This window comes from Homo sapiens, chromosome 8 (assembly GCF_000001405.40).
Source record: "Homo sapiens chromosome 8, GRCh38.p14 Primary Assembly".
Taxonomy (NCBI): domain Eukaryota; kingdom Metazoa; phylum Chordata; class Mammalia; order Primates; family Hominidae; genus Homo; species Homo sapiens.
Window position 1 is genome coordinate 27,040,149 of NC_000008.11, and position 20,961 is coordinate 27,061,109.

Genomic DNA, 20,961 nt, shown 5'->3' on the forward strand with positions numbered 1-20,961 from the left:
CTCAATGACTTCATGACTCGTGCAGTATCTTCCCTCTGCTCTGTGGGATACCACCAGGAATGATTTTGCTGAGACACAACCCAACAACTCCTCAGAAAGTTTCAGTGATTGTTGTCATCAATGACATTTATTCCTGCAGAATTTGTTAATCATATCAGAATTGTTTAGTATTTAGTATATCTCAGGTATTGAATTTGACACTCTAAATGCATAATTTCATTTAATTATCCCAATAAACCATGATGTGGACACATACATTTCCATTTCCCAGGGGAGACAACCAAGGCTTAGCCTCTAATTTGCCCAAGGTTACTCAGATTGTATTTTATTCGGCTCAGGCTGCCATAACAACATAGCATAGACTGAATGACTTAGACCACAGACATCGATTTCTAACAATTCTGGAGGCTGGGAAGTCCAAGATTAAGGAACTGGCAGATTCAGTATCTGGTGAGGACTCTCTTCCTGGTTTGCAGACAGCTTACATCTCTCTGTGTCCTTACATGGTGAAGAGAGAGAGCGTTTCAATTCTCTGGCATCTCTTCTTATAAGGACACTAATTCCATCATGAGGCCGCTATCTTCATGACCTCATCTAACTCCAATTACCTTCTAATGGCCTCTTCTCCAAATACCATCACATTGGAAGTTAGGGCTTCAACATAGGAATTTTGGGGAGACACACACATTCAGTTCATAGCAGATGGTGAGAAATGGGTGGATTTAAAGGCTCTACTTAACCTGGCTTCTACTGTCATGCACTGGACTCCAGCCACACTAACCTTCTCTCTGTTTCTCAAAACCTTTGACTTGCCCTGCTACAAAATGCTTTGTACCCTTTGCCTGGAATACCCTGCCTCTAGATCTTTACCCACCAGAATCCTTCTGTTATGTAGGTTCAGTTCAAGCACTACCTCCGCTGAGTCTGAGTCTGTCCTTCACTACTAATCTAAAGGCCACCCCCAACTCCGACCCAATCGCTCTCTCAGATCATCCAGTTTTAGCTTCTTGACAGTGTGTGTTGTTCCTCAACATTTGTTCGTACATAAATTGACTTGCCTATTTTCTTTTTCTTCTCTAGAGTGTAAGCTTCATGAGAGCAGGAACTAGGCCTCTTTTGTTTGCATCTGTATCACCATAAGCTTGAAGGCTACTGATATGGCTTGGATCTGTGTCTCCACCTAAATCTCATGTTCAATTGTAATTCTCAATGTTGAAGGTGAGGCCTGGTGGGAGGTAATTTGATCATGGGGGTGGATCCTTCATAAACGGTCTAGCACCATCCCTTTGGTGCTATTCTCGTGATAGAGTTCTCATGAGATCTGGTTATTTAAAAGTGTCCCCCACACTTCCTCCTGCTCTGGCCACGTGAAGATGTGTCTACTTCCCCTTCACCTTCCATCATGATTGTAAGTTTCCTGAGGTCTCCCCAGCCATGCTTCCTGTACAGCCTGTACTGTGAGCCAATTAAACCTCTTTTCTTTATAAATTACTCAGTCTCAGGTACTTCTTTATAGCAGTGTGAGAACAGACTAATACAGGTACCTGACACATAAACAGTGGAGGATGCATGAGTGAATGTCCACTCCAACACCATCCCTCTTCAGTGCCAAGCTATCCTGGGGGATTCAGTGCTTTGCCTGCAGTTGAAGGGGACATGCAGGTCAAAAGGGCACATCAGCTGACACCCGGAGCCATCCACAGGGAAAATCAAGAGGGACTGTAGGACATGTCACTTAGGAAATTAGAATACCCCTGTCTCTGAATCCTTACTCTATTAGTCTGTTGTCATGCTGCTGATAAAGACATACCGAGACTGTGTAATTTATAAAGAAAAAGAAGTTTAATGGACTCGCAGTTCCACATGGCTGGGGAGGCCTCACAATCATGGGTGAAGGCGAAAAGTACTTCTTACATGGCGGCAGCTAGACAGAATGAGAGCCAAGTGAAAGGGGTTTCCCCTTATAAAGCCATCAGATCTCATGAAACTTATTCATCACAAGAACAGTATAGGGGAAACAGCCCCCATGATTCAATTATCTCCCACCAGGCCCCTCCCATAACACATGGGAATTCTGGGAGCTACAATTCAAGATGAGATTTGGGTGGGGATACAGCCAAACCATATCACTCACCTAGGGGAATTCAAATTCCTTCCTTTAATCCCAGCTATGAACTGAATGTTTATGTCCCCCCAAAATTTATATGTTGAAGCTCTAACCCCCAATGTGATGGTATTTGGACATGGGGCCTTTGGGAGGTGATTAGGTTTAGATGAATTCATTAAACTGGGTGTCCCAGGATGAAATTTGTGTCCTTATAAAAAGCAGGAAGATACACCATAGTTTTCTGTCTGCCATGGGAGCCCACAGCACTCACAACAAGAAGATGGCCATCTGCAAGCCAGGGAAAGAGCCCTCACCAGGAACCAAATCTATTGGCCTCTCGGTCTTGAACTTTCAGCCTCCAAAACTATGAGAAATAAACATTTATTATTCAAGTCACCCAGTCTATGGTATTTTGTTATGGCAGCAGGAGCTGATTAAGACAATCCTCAAGTCATTCCACCTTATGTCAGGCACCCATGGAGACTCGAGAAATTTCCTTCCTGCTATTGATTGTTAACTTGCCACTCACCCAGGCCTCCAGTTCTTGTGTTCTCCGTGGCTCCTTCCCTGTGAATATGACTCATTATCTAGTGGCCTATCTTTCCTAGAGGTTGCACCTGAACCAAGTCTCTTTTTGCCTTGAGGCTGGGCCACTGCTCCTTCACTTCAGCCTGCCTTCTCATCTGTTGATGTTGCCTGGCCGGCACCATCATCCCAGACTGACTCAGGGCAGTGGATTGCCATATCCTTAAGCTGAGGCTGCTTTCATAGGAGATGCACAATGGACCCACCCTGCCTTCCCCTCATCCCCAGCATTCCTTGTCTCCTCTGTGCTGCTCTGGCCCCAGAAGGTATCCACAGAGGCTGGTGCTCACCCCTGTTCTGGGAAGGAGTGTGTTTCTCCTATCACCATGAAAAGGTGAGACCCCTCTGCTTTTGTTCCTTTTCTCTCTGGGCAAGATCTCTTTCATCCCATCTAGATTTCCCTTGCTAGCTGTGCAAATTAATTTTCTCTACTTTCCATTGAGAATGTCAATATACTCCCTAAGATTCTTCACATCTTTTTACAGGCGTTTGTATTTTGGGGTTCTTATTTTTGTTTTGCTACAACTAAAAAGATTAAACCACATTTTCTATGTCTTCAGTGCCGCTCCTGTTGAGCAGAATGATTGCAAACCTATGTTCACCACCTAAATAAACAAACAAAAATATCAAAAGCCTACTAATTGCCAGGCATTACTCTAGGTGTTTTTTCGGGGAGGTGTTAGTGACTGGCTAACTCAATGCATTAAAATGTCAAACATTTTGCAAAGCTCTGTAGTAATAAAAACATAAATGACTGCCTGTTGGCATTCTTAGGTGCTTTATTTTTTTGGAGACCAGCTCTATTTGAGTTTTTTAATTAACTTAAATCTTTATTGCCTGGGGAATGCTGAGACATTTGGGTCAGTCTTCCAAATGCCAAGTGAGACTATTTGAATTTAGGAAAAAAACAAACAAACCAAAAATGCCAGGTCAGAGGCATGAAACCAGAATCCTAGAGTGACTGCTCATCATTGTGTGACAAGTTTCAGAATGAAAAAGAAGGATATTGAGAAACTGACTTAGGACTACATTCTTCTTTGGCACCATAAAAACAAACACAAAGTCAGGGGACCAGGAAAATCAGAATTGAACTATTGTGTTTATTTGGGTGTTTAGTTCATATTAGGTTGAAAATCTTGAAAATCTTATAAAGACACAAACTTTGTTTAACTCATGTGTCAGGTAAATGCCTCTGACAGATAAATGTGGCTGTTTCCTACTCTTACACAGTCCAGAAGATAATTCTTAGCTGGTATAATCACCAGCCAGAAGGTCTCCTGGTCTGATTCATGAATGACTAGCTCACTCGCAAGATGAGAACTGGTCACAAGTCATTAATTCAATTACTTAAGAAACATCTATCAAGTGTTTAGTATATATGAGACATTAAGTTGGATGCTCGTACTATCCAAGGGAACTTAGAGGTTGTTGTTTTTAAAAGGTGATATTCACATAGATATGGAGGCAAAGCCTTCAGTGTTTGAGGGATAGTGACCAGCAGACCTATGGAAACAAGATGTGGTGGACCCTGGGGGGCAGAGAGAAATGGCCTAACTCTCAAAGAAGCAGGAGTTCAGAAGAGACTTGGGAAAGGGAGGAGAATACTATCTCCATCTCCCAACCTGGAAGCCGTTTTATTTCTATCACTGTAAGTGGTTTTGGTGCAAGTGGCTTCTGTGACTAAGAATGGCATCCCACCTGTGAAGGTCTCTAGGGTAGATTTCAGTTATGCCATGGAGGAGAAAGAAGTACTGAGTCCTGGCCAGGCACAGTGGCTCATGCCTGTAATCCCAGCACTTTGTGAGGCCAAGGTGAGTGGATCACTTGAGGCCAGGAGTTCAAGACCAGCCTAGGCAACATGATGAAACCATGTCTGTACTAAAAATACAAAAATTAGCTGGGCATGGTGGTGGGCGCCTGTGGTCTCAGCTACTCAGGAGGCTGAGGCACAAGAATCGCTAAAACCTGGGAGGTGAAGGTTGCAGTGAGCCAAGATCATGCCACTGCACTCCAGCCTGGGTGACAGAATGAGACTCTGCCTCAAAATAAATAAATAAATAAATAAAATACTGAGTTGGTCCCAAAACATTTGACAGATAGCTGTTGAATCTCTATGGTAGGCCAGAAACTCTTTTAGGCATTAGGGCTGCAGTGAAAACTAACTCTCTAATCTTATGGGGCTTCTATTTTTGTGTGATAGGGAATAAACATGTAAACAAGGAAATAAGAGAACATCATGGAGTAATCAGTGCTACGAGAAACAGTGGAAGCATGGGAAGGGGATGGCGGGTGTTGGGGAGTCAGGATGGGTGGAGATGACCTTACTGAGGAGGTGATACTTGAGCAGAGAAGGGTATGAAAGGTATGAAGACAGGAGCAAGGCATGCAGGTAGAGCATTCTAGGCATGGGGAACAGAAAGTGCAAAGTCCCTGAGTTGGGAAAGTGCTGTGTGTTCAAAGCACAGCAAAGAGCACAGGGTAGCAGAGGCACAGTGAACGGTGGTAAGTGGTATGTAGGAGCCAGCCTACACTGGTTTGCAGAGCCAACTGTTAAGTTTTCAGGAATTTTGCCAGACGGTTGCTAAACACAGCCATTCTTAAACATTAAATCATATAAACTTATAACTGAACATATCACATTAAAACTAAAACTCACCACTTCCTAATTAGTTTGCTACATTTTTACTGTTATCTATGCCCTTGAAGTTATGTATATCTGAGTGTCTGTAAGGTGGAAATACTATATAATGCTTCAGTCCTGTGCATCTCTTCCCAGCTCCGAGTTCAGTGTGGTTGACTTGTTAGCTTGAAATCAGCCACCGTAGGAGAATTACACAATGGAAATGGACAAATGGTACAAATCAAGGCATACCTTAATTTTTGTTGATTGCCTAGACTTAAGGAAGAGGTGGAGAAAATGTTAATAATTCAGATTAAATGTAGAAGAGTTTCATGCTACATTTGAACAGCACAAAAAATTGAGGAAATATTCTTCCAGTATTTGAAAACTGTTATCCAGTTTGGCAAAGAACATCCTCTTGTTGTCGACACATGGGGAAATTCCAACACACTCCTTTATTCTCTTACTCTTGTCTTACTTGTTAACATGTATGAAAATATCAACCAACATTCATGCCAGGATGGCATATGGGGAGCCAGGTGTTACCCATTTATTATCACACAGATGTGTCAGAAACATAGCTGGGAATCAGATTAGACAGGCCTTATATATCAAAGTAAGGGTGTAAAAATTTTTAATTGTGAAATGGAAAGCTGTGAGGTTTAAAACAGAAGAATAAGATGCTCTGAATTCTGTTTCGGCCTGGTGCAGTGGCTCACGCCTGTAATCCCAGCACTTTGGGAGGCTGAGGTGGGCTGATCACGAGGTCAGGAGATCGAGACCATCCTGGCTAACACAGTGAAACCCCGTCTCTACTAAAAATACAAAAAATTAGCCTGGCATGGTGGCAGGTGCCTGTAGTCCCAGCTACTCGTGAGGCTGAGGCAGGAGAATGGCGTGAACCTGGGAGGTGGAGCTTGCAGTGAGCCAAGATTGCACCACTGCACTCCAGACTGGGCGACAGAGCGAGACTCTGTCTCAAAAAAAAAGGATCATTTCAGTAGCTGGGAACAGAATAGAGCATAGGTGAACAAAAACAGAAAAAGTGGGGCTGAGTTAGGAGAACATACGTCAGCTTCCTCTGGGTAGCTGTGGAGGTGATGAGAAGCAGTTCAACTTGAGCTGTATTTTTCAAGGAAATGTCAACAGGACTTGCTGAGGACTTAGATGTGGGTTAGAAAATAAGAAAGATAGCACAGATGACTCCAAAGTTTTTGGCCTGAGCAGCTGGAAGAATGGTGTAACTGTTCAATAATAGGAAGCCAAGTGAAGCAGAAATAGATTGGGGAAAGGATTGGAATAGAATAAAGAATTCTAGGGCAGCACAATGGCTCATGCCTGTAATCCCAGCACTTTGGGAGATTGAGGAGGGCAGATGGCTTGAGGAGTCCGAGACTAGCCTGCTCAACATGGCAAGACTCCATCTCTACTAAAAATACAATAGTTAGCCGGGCATGGTGGTGCACACCTGTAATCCCAGCTGCTGAAGTGGCTGAGGCAAGAGAATCGCGTGAGCCCGGGAAGTGGACGCTGCAGTGACCCGAGATTGCGCCACTGCACTCCAGCCTAGATGACAGAGTAAGACCCTGTATCAAAAAAAAAGAAGAAAAAAAAAAGGAGTTCTGTTTTTGATATGTTAAGTTTGAGATGTCTATTGTGTCCAAGTGGAGATGTTCAGGGTGAAATTGTATGGATTGTGTTTTTCATAGCATAGGGATTCTAGAGGACTTAATAGTAAAAGAAGCAGTAGGAAGATCTCAGAGGAGAGGATGAGACTAGAAGGATTCAGTTGGTCAGTGCAACTTATGTCTCACGTTGTGTCTGAGGATGACAAGAGGTGATGCATTGTGGGTAAAGCTGACTATATGGTTATTAAAAGAAAAAAAAAAGTCCAAGAAGTCCTAGTAAATGGAAAAATTTAGGTCTCCCTGGATGAAGTCAGCCATAGCCTGGGTTGATTGTTCTGCTGAAGAGAGCTTAGTCAGGTGGAGAGTGTGGTAAAGGGATAGCCATTACCCCCAAGGCTTCAATACAAGTGGAAAATGCAACAGCTTTAATCCTAAGATTCTTCCTAGATTCACAATATGTGTGTGCCCTGGTCCCAACCCCTCCCTACTCCCCTCATTTGCCCCCAGGCTTCGTGAAAGTGATAGCAGAATCAGCCATGCTGATTCCTCAGCCCAGTGCACTGGATGGAAGTTAATGCCCAAAACTGATTTATCTTCCTTGAGGCTGGGAAAAGGGATGAGTTGGGAAAGCGAACAACTAGAGGTGTTTATGAAGGAGGAACATCTGGGATGCCCGTGGTGGTAACGTGGAGTGCTGCAAAGAGGACTATAGAGAAGGAAGGCAAAATGCTGTTTAGAATCCACAAACGTGGAATCAGTGCATCTCATTTGCTGGCTCTTACCATAAAATGAGCATCAGTATCCCTGCCCTGAGCTTGGGTAGCTTATCAGAGAAGATCGCTGACACTTTTGGAGCCCATCTGAATAGCTCCCTCTGAAGCCATCCAACTTGACCATGATCTGGACTTCCTACTAGACCAGTATTTTGCCTTTGCCTGATCTTTCAACTTCAGCTTCTGCATTTTCTTCTAATTAGCCCTTTCTTACCCCACCAGCACTGCCAAAATGGAGACTTCCTGTCCCAGTCTCAGACCTTGTGGAATTCACACCTCCCCTTTCCATCACCACCTCCCAACCCTGCCACAATATGGACTACCTGTTGTTACGTTGAGAAGATTAAGACTACACAGGCAGTTAGTTTAGGGAACACCTTCTACAGTTGGTGAAATCTATTTTTAAGATCATGAAATGTCATACTACTGCCATATATACTAATTTCCTCCTCCTCCTTTCTCTAAAACTGTCACTCAAGATAAAAGTCAGCTGGGCCGGGCAGGGTGGCTTACGCCTATAACCCCAGGATCTGGGGAGGCCAAGGCTGGCGGATCACCTGAGGTCAGGAGTTTGAGACCAGCCTGGCCAACATGGCAAAACCCCATCTCTACTAAAAATACAAAAATTAGTCAGGCATGGTGGTGCACACCTGTAGTCCCAGCTACTCGAGAGGCTGAGGCTGGAGAATCGCTTGAACCTGGGAGGTGGAGGTTGCAGTGAGCCAAGATCACGCCATTGCACTGTAGCCTGGGCGACAAGAGTGAAACTCCATCTCAAAAAAAAAAAAGGGCAACTGGTGAATGCTGGGAATATGAATATCAGGGCTTGTGCTTGTTATTTTGGGGAATGACAGAAGACAGACCCAGGCAGTGTTTTTTCCCTGCATTCATCCTTTTTTCCTTTTTCTTTATTTCCCATTTATTTTATTTAAGTGTGATTTAGTTTGTACAACATTTATAAGAGGAATGGAAAATAGACAAGAAGTGATGATAGCAAGTATTAGGTTGGTGCAAAAGTAATTGCGGTTTTTGTCATTAATGAAACGTAAAGTAATTAAAGTAATGACAAAAACCGCGATTACTTTTGCACCAACCTAATAGCTTTGGAAATGGAACAACGAAGGATCACAAGTTTGGCTTCAAGTTTTCTGTGGTACACTTGCCACAAAAAGCAGGGGGCAGAGGAAACTTTTGGAGGCGATGGATATGTTTATCATTTTGATTGTGATGATATCATGGGTGTATATGTATACCCAAGCTCATCAAATTGTACACATGAAATACATGTGGGGTTTTTCTGTCTATCAATTTATACTTTGATAAAGCTATTAAAAAGAAAAAGGCAGAAATGAGCTCAAATTTTAAACTGTCTTTATTCTTTCATTGAACAAGCATTTATGAAGGGCCCGCCATGTGCCAGCTCTGTGCGAGATATTGATGTGACTCTGGGAAGGCAAGCATTGTCCCCAACCCTGCACATCTATCAGGGAAAGCAGAAGCAATTGCCATCACGTGCTAGGACAGGGAAGTTTGGCACCATGGAAACGTGTAGCAGGGGCAATCCTGGTGTGGGGGTGGGTCAGGATTGTAATTCCCAAATTGGAGACTGACTCACACAGCTATCAGTGACAGGCAGAACAACCTCCACAGACTTCAGCCAGAGGGGGGAATTAGCCATTTTCTTTTATATCACCGTTTTATTCACACATCAGCATCCCCTCATTCCCATCCACTTATTCCTGAAAGCAGGCCCTTTTTGAGGCTCCAAACATAGTAATTAAACAAAGGGGATTCTAGAAGGTGGACAAAGCATTAGAGACAGCTTCATTGTATATAAATGCCAAATTTTCTGCATCAGTAAGGTTGCAGCTGTGACAAGAATTAGGCTGCTTTCTAGGTCATATATTTTCTAAAGCACTAGGCAAAAAAAATATTAACACATGAGGGGAAAAGAAATAAATAGACTCAATTGTTTTAAAACCTTATGAGTAGACCATTTTTTAATAATACAATGAATACTGCTTATTGAATAAACAAAGAAATTATTTGTTAATATAAAATAGAGCCACATTCTCTGGTTAAATCGTGAATGTGTAAAAAATTAAGTTCTCAATTTAATCTGTTCTGCACAAGATTCTGAATGAAAGATTAATTGGATATAATGACACTGATATTATTTTCTGTATAATAATAATTCTATACATGTTTGGCAATTTATAGTTGTAATTCTATGAATCTGAATTTTTAAAAGTTAACTACAAATAAACAGTCTCTGTAAATGAGATATATGGGGTAGGAGACTGCTTACATGGGTATGGCTAAAGCATAAATTTGAAATAATATCTGATTCATATCAGAATTTATCAGCCTGGGCTGGATAATGTTTAGTCACAGATGAGACACAGATAAGAAAATTAACACCAGATTGGTAATTAAAAGTGCTTCCTGGGTATGAATGACACCTCTGAATGCAGCATGAAATAATTCCTTTTGTATTCTGCTCCACGTTTTCTTTCATCTTGTGTTTGGACATTAGCCACAGAGGGATTGATGTTTACCGCAAAGAGCCTGGAGTCAGAAGATCTATATTCTGGTCTCAATGCTGCTAGAAGTTAACTGTTAGATTTTTAGAAAAAATAAGTTCTAATCCTCTGTTCAGCTTGCACATCTGCAAAATGAAGATACTTTTTAAAGCAAAATTGAGAAAGAAATAGAACAAAATTATGCATGCAAAAATGCGGTGAAAATTTTTAGTTAATGCAAATATAAAATATCCAAATAGTCTATGCACAAATATATTTATATATCATAACAATGGAAACTAAATTATAATTGAAGGGATATCAAAAATAGAATTATAGTATTGAAACAAATAAAAGCCAACAAGATTGAATATGTGTGTTTGTGCACGTATGTTTTAAGTGGTGAGATACTTCTAGATATTATGTTGTTAACATATTACCAAATTGTTTAACTCATATATGCGTATAGTTTTTGGTAATATGAAACTGTGCATAGAAGGAGATGATCAGTAATTTATTTGGCTGTCTAGTACATGTTGAGTCACTTCTCCATATAAAAAATTAATAAAGAAGGCTAATAAATGGGCTCCTCACGTGAGGGCTAAAGACAAAGACAGATGCAGACGCTTTGTTCCTGAAACCTCTAGCTTGGAATATGTTATAGTCCTGAGACAAAGCCATTCACAATTAATTCCAATGGTAAATCTCAGTTGAGCCTCGGGGGTGTGAAGGGGGACTGATACAGCATAGTCGGTTTGCCATAAATATGCCTAAATCTATAAAAGATTCATCACATTAAAAGAGGTTTTTTCTGAACACTATGCTCATTTATCAGATTATTTGGAGATTATTTAGTATGATAAAATACAGAAAATACCTCACTACATTTGTAAAATCTTTTCAGAAATCAATTTCTAAGTTTTTAACAAAAATGTCATGATAAGACTTCTAGTACTATAAGATGTCATAGACCTTCTGGTATAGGCACAGCAGTCTGAACAAACACCGAAATAAGAGGGGCACCTTAAAATCTCTAGTCAAACGGACTGGTAGAAACCTTCTATGCAATCTCAGTCTACTAAGAAGTAGGTTTCTACCTAATGTAAAAAAACCAATACTGAAAATCAAGGAAAAGAAAGAAATAGGAACAAAACAAACAAACAATAAGACAAACAAACAAAACAAACAGTAACAAGATAAATCTCCAAAAACATACTTGAATGAAGTGGAGTTTTGTGATTTACCTGACAGAAAATTCTAAATAATGGCCATAAGGTTACTCATAGATGTCAAGACAGCAATCCAAGAACAAGCTGAGAACTTCAACAAAGATACAGTATAAAAAAGTATCACATGGAAATCATAGATCTGAAGAATGCTATAACTGAATTAAAAAATTCAATAGCGGGGTTCAATAACAAACTAGAACAATCAGGGGGAAAAATTGTGAACCTGAAGACAGATCACTGGAAATCATTCAGTCTGAGAAGCAAAAACAAAAAAGAATAAAAAGAGGTAATTATAGATGAAGAGACCAATGGGACACCATTAAGCAGAACAAATTATGCATTATTGGTGTGCCACAGGGAAAAGAAACAGAGAAAGGGATATAAAACATAATCAAGGAAATGACGGCAGAACACTTCCGAAGTCTCAGGAAGACATTAGAAAGCCAGATCCCGGAAACCCATAAGACATAAAAGATGACAAATCCAAAGAGACACCATGATACATCATAGTTAAATTGTCAAAAATTAAAGATTAAATGAAAGAAATCAAGGAGCTAAATGGAAAAACATACCGAGTTTAAGACTCAACATAGTAAAGATGTCAGTTCTGGCCAAATTCTCTATATGCTTAATGCAATTTCTATCAAAATCCCAGCAAAGTTTTCGTTGCGAAAGACAAGCTTACTCTAGAATTTATATGAAAAGTTTGAGACCCTACGATAGCTAAAGTAATCTTGACAAACAAGAATAAAATATAGGAATTACTCTGCTGATTATTAACATGTAACTGTATGGCTAGAGTAATCGAGACAATCAAGACACCATAGTATTGGCAAAGGGGCAGACACATAGATCAGTGGAAAAGAAAAAAAAAATCCAGGATCCAGACTCATACAGATATGCTCACCTAATTTTTGACATAGATCCAAAGCAGTTCAATGGAGAAAGGATAGCTTTTTCAACAAATGGCATTGGAACAACTGACCATCCAAAGGCAAACAACATGAACTTCAACCTAAACGTCACACATCGTACAAATATTCACTCAAAATGGATCAGGGACAAAATGTAAAATGTACAGTTTTAAAGCTCTTGGGAAAAAGTAGAAGACAGGACCTACAATTACCCAAAAAGCCTTCGACTTGACAAAAAAAGCACGATCCATAAGAGAAAAAGTTGACAAATTTTACTTAATCAAAATTTAACTTGCTGTGCAAAAGCTCAGTGAAGAGGACGAAAAGACTAGCTACATCCTAGGAGAAAATATTTGCAAACGATTCCAAAAAAGGACAAGTATTTAGAATATATTTCTAAAACTTTCAAAACCAACAGTAAAAAGAAAAATCAATCCAATTGGAAAGTGGCCAAAGCACATGAACACTAAAGAGGATATACAGTTGGTGAACATGCACATAACATAATGTCCAACATCACTACTCATCAAGGAAATGCAACTTTAGACTATAACTAGGTGTCATTACATACTTATCAGAAGGGTTTGAGTAAAAAAATAGTGATATCAAATGCTGGTGAGAATGTGGAAAAGACGGATCACTTATACATTGCTGATGGAAATATATTATGTAAAAATGGAACAGTTACAGAAAACAGTTTGGCAGTTTCTTACAAGACTGAAAATGAAATTACCGTATTACGCAGCAATGGCAGTCTTGGAACTTTTATCCCAGAGAAATGAAAATGTAAGTTTACACAAAACCTGTTTACATAAATGTTCATAGCAGCTTATTCATAATCACCAAAAACTGGAATCAGTCCAGATGTACTTCAGTAAATAACTGTTAAAAAAAACACACTGTGGTATATCCATACCATAAAATACTACTCAACAATAAACAGAATGAACTATTGAGATACATGGCCACTTACAAAATCTCCAGGGTATTATGCTGAGGGAAAGCCTATCCAAAAAGGTAAAATACTGTGTGATTCCATTTATATAACATTTTTGAAATGATGACATTTTAGAAATGGAGAATGGATTACTGGTTTCTAAGCATACGGGACCAGGAGTGGGTGTTGGCAGAAGGGAGGTGGATGTTGTCAAAAAAGAGCAGGGTGAGGAATCCTCTTGGTGATGGTTTACTATTTTGACTGTGGTTGTGAATACACAAAACTAAATTTATGGTAAAACTGTATAGAATACACATATGCACAAATAAGTGCAAGTTAAACTAGGGAAACCTAAATAAGATCAGCAAATTGTGTCAAAGTCAATATCCTGGTGGTGATATGGGTTTGCAAAATGTTACCATTGCAGAAACTGGATAAAGTGTGATTTTTGTGTGATTTCTTCCCATTCTGGTGATCTACAGTTTCTCAATAAAAAATTCAATTAAAAATAAAAGTGCTTATTAAAATATGGTAGATATTTTGGGAGAATATAAATAAAATTAAAAGGTTGTCTGCCATCTGCTAGCTTAAGTCTTTAGAAACAAGTGTTTGTGTCAGGCGCAGTGGCCGAGGCCTGTAATCCCAGCACTTTGGGAGTTTGAGGTGAGCAGATTGCCTGCACTCAGGAGTTCAAGACCAGCCTGGGCAACATGGCGAAACCCTGTCTCTACTAGAAATACAAAAAATTAGCCGAGCGGGTGGCACATGCCTGTAATGCCAGCTACGCAGGAGGCTGAGGCAACAGAATCACTTGAACTCAGGAGGCAGAGGTTGCAGTAAGCCGAGATCAAGCCACTGCATTCCAGCCTGGGCAACAGAGCGAGACTCTGTCTCAAAAAAAAAAAAAAGAAAAAAAAAGGTGTTTATGAATTAAATTTAAACAAATTCAACATTTAATATGCCCCAAATTGCACTAGGTAACAAAGGAGTATTATTTCTGCCCTGAAGGAGGTCCTCTCCACCAATGATTCTGTCCTTTGTGTCTTTATGCTTTCTTATTAAACTTTTCAAACAGTTGTCTGCTCTTGGATCATCCTATACCCTTGTGTGTTCAGTCCTCCACTCACTTCCAATAGACTTCTACTCTCTCCATTCTTCTGAAATATCTCTGGTAGAAATAACCATGGTGACCTTCTAATAGCCAAATCTGAAGATATAATGATGTTATGTGAAAAAGCCTGGAATATTTATGAAAGCATTTTCCTGAAGAAATTATGGGCACTTTTTATATGTCCTAATTTTTGCTTCGTCCCCAACTTTATAACAAGCAAAGAAAGAGGATGAAGTGTTGGAAGGAGAAGGAGGAGGAGAAAATTATCCATAATATACGTATGCATAAGCTTTTTCAAATTCAGATAGGTCACGTATTTATTTTGTCTTTCCAAAATGAGATCGTACAATAAATACATTTGTAACCTGTCTTTTTGTTTGTTTTTGAGACAGAGTCTCTCTCTGTCACCCAGGCTGGATGGAGTGCAGTGGCGTGATCTCGGCTCACTGCAAGCTCAGCCCCCCAGGTTCACGCCATTCTCCTGCCTCAGCCTCCCGTGTAGCTGGGACTACAGGCGTCCGCCACCATGCCCGGCTAATTTTTTGTATTTTTAGTAGAGACGGGGTTTCACCGTGTTAGCCAGAATGGTTTCGATCTCCTGACCTCTGATCCACCCGCCTTGGCCTCCCAAAGTGCTGGGATTACAGGCGTGAGCCACAGTGCCTGGCCTGTAACCTGTCTTCTTACGTATCAATATGTCATTATGTCCTTTCCTTTTCCATAAATATTTTCTGCAGTATCATTTGTAATAGCTGTCTAACCCATTAATTTACTTTAGCATAATTAAATCAGCCAATCCCCATTTATTTCACATTCAGGTTGTTTATTATTTGTAGCTATAGTAAATACCTTTTAGCTAAATCTTTGGCACATATAGTTATTTTCCTGTATACCATTTTTATGGCTTTCATTACTTATTTTCGATGTTATCAAAAGATGGTGAGAGAGCCTGTTTCCTTAAAACTGTGCCAACCTTGAACTTATAACTAAAGAAGAAAACCTTTGCTAATTTAAAAGTAAAACAAGGTTCTCACCATGTCTTTAGTTCACATTTACTTGTTTGCAAGGTGAAACAGATTTTTTTAAAAATACGCTTTTTGGCCAACACAGCTTTTTGTGTGTCTGCTCTTTCATTGGAGCCTTCTACTCTTTCTTAAAGCATTACAGGAGATGTTTTTATTTTAAAAATACTAATATTCTCATATATGTTGCAGATATTTTTCCCAGTTTTCTCTTTAAGTCTTGTTCATTATGGGTTTTGAAATATAGAATTTTTAAAAAATTGTTGTCAAAACTAAATAACAGATGTTTCATCTGGTGGAATTACAGGTGATTTTTTGGCTTGATTTTTATTCTCATTTTTCTAAAAAGAATACCCCTCTTCTCACATATTATGAAAAAAATCACAATGAGAATATCATATATGAAAAATTAAATGCTGTGGATAAGTTGTATTCAGAAAAAAACTTGACAACTTTTTCTACTTTTCTAATTAAACATGAACTAATAAATGCAAGTTAATTGGGCATTCAACTCAAGAAATCAAAGTAAATAAAACAGGAACCTGGTGATGCAGGAGGAAACATTGATAATAATTAATATAAACTTTTAAAAATAGAAAAATTGATTTCAAATAAAGCAAATTCAAAACCTGGTTCTTGGGAAATTTAATCAAGAAAAGAGACAAATCACAGCAATAGAAAGTTAAATAAGGGAACACAAAAACAGATCAGCGGACATTTTCTTAACTATGAGATAATTTTACATACAGCCTCAGTATTAAAAATATCACTGAAATTGGTAATCTTCTCAGGAAATACAAATGCTTAAAGTCGAATACAAACACATTTTGTAAAAGCCTGGCTAGACATTCATCAGAGAATAAATTGCAGGAGTTTTATCAAAGAATAACTCTCTATGAAAGCAGCAGATTCAGACAGGCTTATAGATAACATTTTTCAAACTGTCAGGGAACAGATAATTCTTATGTTTAGATTGCTTGACAGTATAGTGAAGACAAAGATTATTAAAAAATAAAACTAAAGCTAATCTCGTTTATGAATATACGTACAAAAATATTAAAGACGACATTAACAACTTAAAGCCTGGGTATAGTAAAATAAATAATTCCCCACATAAATTGAAGAAAAACTTAAACTAGGAATTCAAGGAGGGTTCAAGTTGAAGTAATAGCTTGATATATATGATTATATTAATATGACAAGATACATAAGCAGTCATTTTGAGAGATGCAAAAAGCATACTTGATAAAAGGCAACATCTATTAGATGAGTTTAAAAAAAAGTTTTCAGGATATCACAGAGAGAAAGTTACTGACAATACAGGATACAAAATTTATCTTAAACTAACAGCAATGTCAAGCCTACAGGTGAAATAATAAACACATCCCTATTATTATCAAATAGAGAAACAAGGTAAGATGCCTACAAATACAGTTTTTATTTAATATTGCTCCAAAGGGCTAGCCAATACAATGAAATTGAAATGAGAGTAATTAATATGAGAAAGGAGGAGACAGAAAAATCTAAGAGAATTAACTAGGAAACTATTAGATCTAACTAGAACAGTGATGGCTTGGTAGACCCAGGTACTCGGGAAGCTGAGGCAGGAGAATGGCATGAACCCAAGAGGCGGAGCTTGCAGTGAGCCGAGATTGCGCCACAGCACTCCAGCCTGGGCAACAGAGCGAGACTCCGTCTCAAAAAAAAAAAAAAGAGAATGCTATAAGAGATGATTCTGATAAAAGTGTACTGCAAACTGGACATGGTAATGTGCACCTGTGGTCCCAGCTACTCAGGAGACTGAGGCAGGAGGATTGCTTGAGCCCAGGAGTTTGAGGCTGCAATGAGCTAAGACTGCATCTGTGAATAGCCACTACAGTCCAGCCTGGGCAATGTAGCCAGATGCTGTTTCTTAAAAAAAAAGAAAAAAAAAGTATACTGCAATCCAAGTAAGTTATTTTGTGGATATCAACAAACTTATCCTAAAGTTTTAATGGAAAAGCAAAAGACAGAAAAACCAACCCAATACTGAAAAAGAACAAAGTCAGAGGACTGATACTACTGGAATTCAAAACTTACTGTACGTCTATAATAATGAAGACAGTGTGGTCTTAGTGAAAGGACAGACTAAGAGATCAATGAAACAGAGGAGAGAGTCTGGAAATAAACCCACACAAATATAATCAACTGGTCTTTGATTAAGGAGCAAAAGTAATTCAATGGGGAAAGAGTAGTCTTTTCTTGTGTGCAGTTCAATTTTTTTATTATACTTTAAGTTCTAGGGTACATGTGCACAACGTGCAGATTTGTTACACATGTATACATGTGCCATGTTGGTGTGCTGCACCCATTAACTCATCATTTACATTAGGTATATCCCCTAATGCTTTCCCTCTCCCTTCCCTCCACCCCACAACAGGCCCTGGTGTGTGATGTTCCCTTTCCTGTGTCCAGCTGTTCTCATTGTTCAATTTCCACCTATAAGTGAGAACATGGGGTGTTTTGTTTTTTGTTCTTGCAATAGTTTGCTGAAAATGATGGTTTCCAGCTTCTTCCATGTCCCTACAAAGGACATGAACTCACCTTTTTTATGGCTGGATAGTATTCCCTGGTGTATATGTGCCACATTTTCTTAATCCAGTCTATCATTGTTGGACATTTGGGTTGGTTCTAAGTCTTTGCTATTGTGAATAGTGCTGCAATAAATATACGTGTGCATGTGTCTTTATAGCAGCATGATTTATAATCCTTTGGGTATATACCCAGTAATGGGTTGGCTGAGTCAAATGGTATTTCTAGTTCTACATCCTTGAGGAATCGCCACACTGTCTTCCACAATGGTTGAACTAGTTTACAGTCCCACCAACAGTGTAAAATTTTTCCTATTTCTCCACATCCTCTCCAGCACCTGTTGTTTCCTGACTTTTTAATGATCGCCATTCTAACTGGTGTGAGATGGTATCTCATTGTGGTTTTGATTTGCATTTCTCTGATGGCCAGTGATGATGAGCATTTTTTCGTGTGTCTGTTGGCTCCATAAATGTCTTCTTTTGAGAAGTGTCTGTTCATATCCTTTGCCCACTTGTTGATGGTGTTGTTTGTTTTTTTCTTGTAAATTTGTTTGAGTTCTTTATAGATTCTGGATATTAGCCCTTTGTCAGACGAGTAGATTGCAAAAATTTTCTCCCATTCTGTAGGTTGCCTGTTCACTCTGATGGTAGTTTCTTTTGCTGTGCAGAAGCTCTTTAGTTTAATTAGATCCATTTGTCAATTTTGGCTTTTGTTGCCGTTGCTTTTGGTGTTTTAGACATGAAGTCCTTGCACTTGCCTATGTCCTGAATGGTATTGCCTAGGTTTTCTTCTAGGGTTTTTATGGTTTTAGGTCTAACATTTAAGTTAATCCATCTTGAATTAATTTTTGTATAAGGTGTAAGGAAGGGATCCAGTTTCAGCTTTTTACATATGGCTAGCCAATTTTCCCAGCACCATTTATTAAATAGGGAATCCTTTCCCCATTTCTTGTTTTTGTCAGGTTTGTCAAAGATCAGATGGTTGTAGATGTATGGTATTATTTCTGAGGGCTGTGTTCTGTTCCATTGGTCTATATCTCTGTTTTGGTACCAGTACCATGCTGTTTTGGTTACTGTAGCCTTGTAGTATAGCTTGAAGTCAGGTAGTGTGATGCCTCCAGCTTTGTTCTTTTGGCTTAGGATTGTCTTGGCAATGCAGGCTCTTTTTTGGTTCCGTATGAACTTTAAAGTAGTTTTTTCCAATTCTGTGAAGAAAGTCATTGGTAGCTTGATGGGGATGGCATTGAATGGATAAATTACCTTGGGCAGTATGGCCATTTTATCGATATTGATTCTTCCTATCCATGAACATGGAATGTTCTTCCATTTGTTTGTATCCTCTTTTATTTCATTGAGCAGTGGTTTGTAGTTCTCCTTGAAGAGGTCCTTCACATCCCTTGTAAGTTGGATTCCTAGGTGTTTTATTCTCTTTGAAGCAATTGTGAATGGGAGTTCATTCATGATTTGGCTCTCTGTTTGTCTGTTATTGGTGTATAAGAATGCTTGTGATTTTTGCACATTGATTTCATATCCTGAAACTTCGCTGAAGTTGCTTATCAGCTTAAGGAGATTTTGGGCTGAGAAGACTGGGTTTTCTAAATATACAATTAAGTCATCTCCAAACAGGGACAATTTGACTTCCTCTTTTCCTAATTGGATACCCTTTATTTATTTCTTCTACCTGATTGCCCTGGCCAGAACTTCCAACACTATGTTGAATAGGAGTGGTGAGAGAGGGCATCCCTGTCTTGTGCCAGTTTTCAAAGGGAATGCTTCCAGTTTTTGCCCATTTAGTATGATATTGGCTGTGGGTTTGTCATAGATAGCTCTTATTATTTTGAGATATGTCCCATCAATACCTAATTTATTGAGAGTTTTTAGCATGCAGTACTGTTGAATTTTGTCAAAGGCCTTTTCTGCATCTATTGAGATAATCATGTGGTTTTTGTCTTTGGTTCTGTTTATATGCTGGATTACATTTATTGATTTGCATACGTTGAACCAGCCTTGCATCCCAGGGATGAAGCCCACTTGATCATGGTGGATAAGCATTTTGATGTGCTGCTGGATTCAGTTTTCCAGTATTTTATTGAGGATTTTTGCATCGGTGTTCATCAGGCATATTGGTGTAAAATTCTCTTTTTTTGTTGTGTCTCTGCCAGGCTTTGGTATCAGGGTGATTCTGGCCTCATAGAATGAGTTGGGGAGGATTCTCTCTTTTTCTATTGATTGGAATAGTTTCAGAAGGAATGGTACCAGCTCCTCCTTATACCTCTGGTAGAATTCAGCTGTGAATCCGTCCGGTCCTGGATGTTTTTTGGTTGGTAGGCCATTAATTATTGCCTCAATTTCAGAGCCTGTTATTGGTCTATTCAGGGATTCAACTTCTTCCTGGTTTAGTCTTGGGAGAGTGTATGTGTCCAGGAATTTATCCATTTCTTCTATATTTTCTAGTTTATTTGCATAGAGGTGTTTATAGTATTCTCTGATGGTAGTTTGTATTTCTGTGGGATTGGTGGTGATATCCCCTTTATCATTTTTTATTGCATCTATTTGATTCTTCTCTCCTTTCTTCTTTATTAGTCTTGCTGGCGGTCTATCAATTTTGTTGATCTTTTCAAAAAACCAGCTCCTGGATTCATTGATTTTTTGAAGGGTTTTTTGTGTCTCTATCTCCTTCAGTTCTGCTCTGATCTTAGTTCTTTCTTGCCTTCTGCTAGCTTTTGAATGTGTTTGCTCTTGCTTCTCTAGTTCTTTTAATTGTGATGTTAGGGTGTCCATTTTAGATATTTTCTGCTTTCTCTTGTGGGCATTTACTGCTATAAATTTCCCTCTACACACTGCTTTAAATGTGTCCCAGAGATTCTGGTATGTTGTGCCTTTGTTCTCATTGGTTTCAAAGAACATCTTTATTTCTGCCTTCATTTCATTGTGTACCCAGTA

At 39.1% G+C, this 20,961-nt stretch overlaps 1 non-coding gene across 1 annotated transcript; it reads right to left on the reverse strand.

Moving 5' to 3' along the window:
* Nucleotides 1-8,704: 8,704 nt before the first annotated feature.
* On the reverse strand, nt 8,705-8,815 carry MIR548H4 (microRNA 548h-4). The gene has a single exon (NR_031680.1). It is a non-coding gene; the product is annotated as a microRNA 548h-4 (primary transcript).
* Between the last annotated feature and the right edge of the window lie 12,146 nt (nt 8,816-20,961).